The 7,530-nt window shown below is 42.5% G+C and overlaps 1 long non-coding RNA gene across 2 annotated transcripts in view; it reads right to left on the bottom strand.

Annotated features, from left to right (window-relative positions):
- LOC105372112 (uncharacterized) overlaps positions 1–7,530 on the bottom strand; it is a 127,792-nt gene continuing 120,262 nt past the window's right edge. For both annotated transcript variants that reach the window (XR_007066363.1, XR_007066364.1), the window contains exons 4-5: positions 3,687–3,780; positions 1–1,957 (exon numbers count right to left, since the gene is read on the bottom strand). This is a non-coding gene — a long non-coding RNA (uncharacterized LOC105372112). The remainder of the gene's footprint in view (positions 1,958–3,686; positions 3,781–7,530) is intronic.

The following is a 7,530-nucleotide window of genomic DNA, read 5'->3' as shown; positions in this document are numbered from 1 at the left end:
AGCGATGGACAAAGAGATACCAAACAGATATGCTTAGAAGGAAAGCAGGAATAGACAGATCTACTAACATCAGGCGAAGTAGAATTTAAAGTCAGAAGCATTCATTGGAGTTATGAGAGACATTATGGTATGGTAAAATGTACATATTGGAAAAAATATAACAGCTATAAATTTTGATATTCCAAATAGCATAGTTATACATAAAACAAAAACTACTGCAATATAAGAAGAACTTAAAGTATACGCACGCACACACATACCCCCACACATATACTGTAGTAAAATACTTTAGATATGCCTACTTTTGAATTTTATTTATTTATTTATTTTCTGAGACAGGGTCTTGCTCTGTCACCCAGGCTGGAGTGCAGCGGCTCAATCACAGCTCACTGCAGTCTCGCCCTCCTGGGCTTAATTACTTCTGAATTTCGGAGATCTAGTAAAACAAAAATAAACGACATAGAGAATCTCAATATTACAATTAACGAGCTTGATTTCGTACATACGTAGAATTCAGTGTCTTACCAATGAAAAATAAACATCATTTTATTTTGTCCTCAGAATCTTTGTAAAAATTGATCTCATATTTGGCTCTAAAGAAAATCTATAAAATATAAAAGTGGAGATACACAAGCTAAATGTCCTGAGCCTCAGCCTATACAATTAAAATTTATCACAAAAGCATACTTAAAAAGTCTTCACTACTTAGAATTAAGAAACAATCTCCTAAGTAACTTCTACATGAGAGGAATTCAAAATTAAAATTGTCTAGAAAAGAATAAAAAAGAGATATACTTGAATGCATAAATAATTGAAAGAAAAGAGGGAAAGAGGGAGAGAGAGAGAGAACTAACCTAAATATTTTTTAGTTGTTTGAAAAAGCCATCAGTTGATGCCAATTAATAGAACCCCACCATGAGTCAGCAGGTGTAGGCTCTGGTCTCACTTCTGGCATCATCTTGGCAAGTCGTTCTTCCTCTGGACCTCAGACTCCTAGCTCCAAAATGACAGACTCAGCAAGATGATCTAGGGTTTCTCCTGGCTCCAGTTCATTCGAACAGCATCTTTTACATATTTCAATTAGTCACCCATGTTTACATATCAGAAGATTTGACATAAAAAATTCCACCTCTATTTTCTTTTAAAAACCAGAGTTTGAGGTGGCACTCCTGGGTCTGCCTGGATCAAGGTCGCTCCTTCAGGTCACCGGAGTTCCTACCACCAACTTCACTCTGGTCTGCCTGGACTGTGGGGTTTTCAGCCCCTAAGCAGAAGAAAGGAACTTAGAGTATCAGTTGTCACCCTCTCCAGAGAAAACTCAAGGCTTTTTTTTCTTTTTGGGTTTCCCCTTATAGTGAATATGGAGTCCAAGAGAACAAAACCTCAAACTGATTCTCTAAATTCTCATTTTTGTTCTTCATAAAAATTTCCATCCAGGCAGTTTAAATAAGCCCAGTTGTTTCCAAGAAAACAGAAGGGAAAGCTGAGGAAACCCCACCCCCCACCCCCAGTTCCCAGGGCTCCAGTGCTTGCTCTGTGCCCCAGACCACTGCCCATCTGGATCCTGGTTGTGTTAGGGGGGCGGGCGCGGGAGGGCACCATCTGGTAGAGAACTTACTGCGGTTTGGCTGAGTTGTATAGGTGAAGCTTTCATTCTCAAATAAATTTTAAAAGATTCTTGCTCAATATAAGGATATGGGATATAGAGACAAATGTTCCAGAAAAAAAAAAAAAAAAGATTAAAAATCCACATAGGCAACAATCCTTCATCTTCTTAGGGCAGTCTAGTCCAGGAAGCTTCTCCTGCTTTTGAAGGTTTTTCTTTGATCTTAAAATAAATGAGGCCAGGTGCAGTGGCTCATGCCTGTAATCTCAGCATTTTGGGAAGTCAAGGTGGGAGGATCACTTGAGGCCAGGAGCTTGAGACCAGCCTGGGCAATATAGAGAGATGCCATCTCTACAAAAAAATAAAAAAACAAAATTAGCGGCCAGGCACAGTGGCTCACTCCTGTAATCCCAGCACTTTGGGAGACCAAGGTGGGTGGATCACTTGAGGTCAGGAGTTCAAGACCAGCCTGGCCAACATGGTGAAACCCCCTCTTCACCAAAAATACAAAAATTAGCCAGGTGTGGTGGTGCATGCCTGTAGTCCCAGCTACTTGGGAGGCTGAGGCAGGAGAGTCACTTGAACCCAGGAGACAGAGGCTGCAATGAGCCAAAATTGCACCACAGCACTCCAGCCTGGGCAACAGCCTAGATGTTATTTTTTAAGATGTCTTTAAAATATATACAAATTTTAAAATAAAATGAATGTTTTTTTCTCTTCTCTCAATAGACCCAAGTTTTCTTTGCTTCTTGTGAATGGCCTCACTACCCAATCTTTTTTTCCCATAGTGAACGTGCCCAGAGAATGCAGGTCAGCTGGACACCAGAAGTGGAAGTGGAAAGGCTGTGGGCTATTGTCACTGAACTAGAGATGGATGGGAACAGGCCGGTCTCTCAAACTTGGGAGGTGAGAACCAGACACCCCCAAATCCCACGAGCCAGAAAGAGCTACTGAGACCATCCTCATGAACACTTCTCTTTGTATGTTTTAGAGATTTAACCATACATAGTATGCAACTTTATATGCATATGGTGTGAGTTTTAGATAACTAGAATCTTGTTGTTTAGGATGTTTTCTGTTCAGCAATATGTGGTGGATACATCTCAATCTGAAGAAATAAAAGATCTGCATCAGTGGGGCCGGTGGTGCTAACGCATGTCTGTAATCCCAGCACTTTGGGATGCTGAGGTGGGAGGATCACCTGAGGTCAGGAGTTCGAGACCAGCCTGGCCAACATGGTGAAACCCCGTCTCTACTAAAAATACAAAAATTAGCCTGGTGCAGTGGTGCGCACCTATAGTCCCAGGTACTCATGAGGCTGAGGCAGGAGAATTGCTTGAACCTGGGAAGCAGAGGTTGCAGTGAGCCAAGATCGTGCCATTGCACTCCAGCCTGGGCAACAGAGTGAGACTCTGTCTCAAAAAACAAAAAGCAAACAAACAAACAAAAAACACCAAGATCTGCATCAGCGGCGGTACTGAACACAGGTACAATTTCACGGCTTCCTAATGTGTTGTATCCATTTACAGTCCTAACAGCAGGATGTGAAATCGCTCATATTTTCTAAACCTTTCCTACACTTGGTTTTATCACTCTGTTTATTCTTTGCCAATCTAAAACTGTTCCAATACAATGTAAAATTTAAATTTAAATAAAATGTGCATTTCGCTGATTAATGTAAGTTGGAATATCATTATCTTTTCATAGTTCTTGGGCAATTATATTTCTTCTCTCAGATTTACACAGTCATGTCCTCCCCATTTTTCAATGTGACCATTTAGTTCTTACTGAAAAGTAAGTGCACATTTTATAACAGGAATATTAACCCTTTGTCTTTTTTTTTTCTTTTTGTAGAATTTTGCAAAATCTTTGTGGCTGGTCTCTCCACTCTGATTTTAATGATAGTCTTGTTTTGTTTGTTTTTAAAAAAAACACTATGCTGCAGTTTTAAATTTCTTTGTAGACAAATCTTCCGTCTGTGACTTGATAGAAAAGAAGACAGATGAGTGTGAACAGATGGAGGGGATCCGGGGTGGATTGGGCAGGAGGGTCTCATGGCCCTGTGCAGAGTGGAGCTCACCTGTGAATTCTGACAGGTAATCCCAGCCACAGTCCAATAACTGCTGGCAACGGTGAACAAAGGAAAGCTTCTGTGCCTCAGGTGAAACGGGAGTCTAGAAAAAGTTAATGAAAGGAATAACCGAGTAAGTAGCAAACACGCATCTGCTAAATAGATGTCTGAAGCCACAGACTTTAATATTTGGAGCAAAAGACAAAATATTAAAAACTCAGGTAAATGGACTCTTTTTATTTTTTTACTAGAAAAAGTTTGGAAATACCCCTGTGAAAAGGACCCCACAAAGCCTCTTTGCTACTCTCACCCATCAATTCCTCTTCTGGAAGTTTCGCAGGAAGGCATATATTTTGAATCTCAAATGAGAACAGGAAAGAATGATAAATAACCAAAATACCAGGAAACCAGCTTCTCTAATCTGAGGGGCAAAATAGTCTCCAAGAATAATGTCCAAGCCCCCCAGGGAAGACAATTTCTCTCCAAGTAGCTGGAACATGGAATGAACCCTCTGTACAAGGCAACTTCGTATTTCTAAAGACTCAAAGACCAACAGGAGGTGACAAAACTCATGGCAGAATGGCCTGTATTTGGAGCTGTTTCATTTATTGAGGGTTTTCGATGTGAAAGAGTTTGCTAGGTTAGGGCAGCTGTGTTTGAGGACAATGTGCTAGAAGGAAAGCAGATGAACTATAGGAGAAAGGCTGAACTTCATCAGTCCCAAACCCCGTATAACAGCTGACCTACAAGCCACAGCATTGCATTGAGAGCCGGCCCTTTCCTGGGTATACTAGTTTTCTATTGCTGTGTAACAATGACCACAAACTTAGTGTTTAAAACAACACACACATTGATTATCTCCTAGCTTCCATGGATCAGAACTCTGAGTACAGCTTAATTCTGCTCAGGATCTCATGGGGCTGCAATTCAATTGCCCTGTTGGTCGGTGCTGTGGTGGTTTCACCTGAAGTTGTGGTCCCTTCGAAGCTCCTGTGGTTGTTGGTAGAATTCAGTTCTTGCAGCTGTATGACTGAAGCCCTCAGCTCCTAAAGGGCACACAGTTTCTGGCTGTGTGGCCCTCTCCATAGGCAGTTTACAGCGGTGCAATTTACTGCTTCAAGACCAGTAGGAGATTCTGTCTAGCACATGCTAGCAAGATGGAACTACCTATATGTATTACGTATGTATATCTTGTTCTCTTTCCCTCTCTGTATCTTGTGACATAATCGTGGGGGTGGCATCCCATCTACTTTGCCATATTCTAATGGTTAGAAGCAAGTGACAGGTCTTACACTCCAAAGGAAGGGATTATCCAGGGCATGAACATGGGCGCCCCCCAATAGTGTCCATCCATCACACCAGGCTTGTGATCCCCTAACGCAGAGTTTCCCAAGGGGTGTACCTGAAACACTAATCCCATAACAATTATTTTTTTTAAAATGGTATCTGAGTCATACAAGTTTGGAATTGGTGCATGTTCTCTTCACCTCTTGGAGATTCAAAATACACATTAGCATATTAAAGGTACTGAGACTTTCTGGGTATCAATTATGATTGCGCTCAGCAGCAAAAAAAAAAAAAAAAAGCCAGAAAACTTAATGATAATACCTTCAAATGTTGAGTTTTTTAAAAAAGACAAGAAGCTCTGAGAGAGAAAGTTGCTGGCCTGGATTCAATGGGTCAGTCATGTTCGGACAGATGTCACTGTGATTTTCTTGGCTTTCCCTCATAGTTACCACGAGGGCTGCCTCTGTTCTGGCCATCATGTTTGTATTTATAGCACACGGGAGGAGGAAGGAAAAATCCCAAGTTGGTCCTCTCAGTTTCATTCATCATGAAAGCATAAGGTTTCTAAAAACTTTCAACTTCTGCTTCTATCTCATGGTTAGAACAGGATCATGTGGCTATCTGCATGGAAGACTCATGTTCCTATCTGCGAGGAAGACTATGGGAGTAAATATTTAACAATTCTTGCATTGATGGTGAGAAATGGCAAGGGAGATTGGGGTTGAGAGAGCCTTTAGGGGTAGCCAATTATCAGTGTCTGCTTCATGAAATCTTAAAGAAATATGTTTAAATTTTCCACATGATGCTCTAATATGTAACCTCAGAGACACACCTTCAACAATGTTGCTGTAGCCAGAATGTCTTGGAGTGACAGAACCAAGAAAACTAAACTCCTAACTCTTTGGCCTGGACAGCTGACACTGAAGTCTTCTCTGGTTCCTCTCATTCTTGAGAATAGCTCTGGGCTCAACCATGGGGTGAAGGGTAAGCCTCTTGGATGCTTCAATTCATCAGATGTCAGCTGTGCACGACCACAAGCTCAAAAGGATAACCTTCTGCCCTCTCGACTTTGAAACCCCAAGACCCAGAAAACTGCTAGCCCAGCATCCCTTCTTTTCGTGCCACAGCCAAGAAAGCCTCCTCGCCAAAAACCACACCTTGTCACTGGGAAGGGCTCAAGAAAAGCTACTGGGAAGGAAACTGACCCCAGAGTTCACCCGTCTGGTTTCTAATAATAAGCTCTTTCAAACTCTCCCTTTCCTTTATTTCCATTTCCCAGTTTCTCTCTCACTTCTTCTTCTGACCCAAAATGGGTGTCATGAAGTGCCTCCAGTCCCTTTCCTGGTTTTACATCTTCAACAAGATTGATTGACATCCCTTTATCTCCTCTAGCTATGCTTGGCATTTTGGCTGGTGACTGCAAAGTGGAGTCTGTGGAGTACTCTTGGCATATTTCAAATGGTTGCAGATTTTCAGGTATTGTGATGGGGCAACATGGTCTTGTAGAAAGAGAACTTGTTGGGATGTTCAACTCCATCTTAACCAGTGGTGAGACTGTGGGCAAGTCGACAAGAAAAACCTTTGCGTTACAAAGGGGATGCGGGGAGGGGAACCTGGTTCTCCACCCCATGCAGGGTTCCAACAGGAAGTTACCAGTCTAAGAGAGCATTTCTGGAGGCAGCAGATTGCACTTGGAAAAACCTGCCATTGTAAGAAAGGTCGGTGCTCTTAGGGTCAACATTTTGCAGCCTGAGCTCAAGGGCCCACCATCCTCATCCTCAGAAAGAAAAGGCTTCCAAAGGTCAGAGCACCTGCCCATAGTTACATTGATAAGAGCCCAGGTTTTTGGTTATTATTAATTTCTTCTTTGATCACCATTCTCCATCCATGGGAAGGGTTAATGTATTCCTTCTCCACACTAACTCACTGACTCATTCAACATCTATTTATTGAATGCCTGCTGAATAACTCTATAAGCTATAAGTTAGCCCCAAGGAACTTACAATTCAGAGAGGAGACATCTGTGCCGCCAATAACAACACAATCAAATAATGACTGTGATGTTGGGGTAGCAGGTAGCTTATGAGTGGTTTGGGTGGTTGAGCAGGGGTTGTCCACTTGGGCTAGGCCCTTCCAGAAGGGCCTTGATAGCATCTCTAGGGACAAATGATGTCATTCTAAACAGAACCCTCAATGGGCAAAGTGCTGAGCACTGTTGACTGATGGGAGGGGAATGGACTATTCGGTCTGACAGAGTGTCCCTGGGCTTGGCCCTGCAGAGCCTCCTATTTTCTCAATTTTACACTTTCTTGTCATTAGGTCCCCTCTTCCCCCTTTCCTCCACAGACTGTATGAAGGATTGTGAGAACATAAGAGGAGGAATACATAGGTCTCCCAGGAAGGAGCAAAAGGTTCCAGAAGAAGTAGCCCTCTATGTGAAGTGTGAGAACAAGAAGTCACGGTGACGGTGACAAGGAGGAGGCCTGGCAGGGTGTGGTGGCTCATGCCTGTGATGCCAGCACTTTGGGAGGCTGAGGTGGGTGGATCGCTTGAGCTCAGGTGTTTG

This window comes from Homo sapiens, chromosome 18 (assembly GCF_000001405.40).
Source record: "Homo sapiens chromosome 18, GRCh38.p14 Primary Assembly".
Lineage (NCBI taxonomy): Eukaryota > Metazoa > Chordata > Mammalia > Primates > Hominidae > Homo > Homo sapiens.
This window is presented reverse-complemented; position numbering and strand designations above follow the sequence as displayed.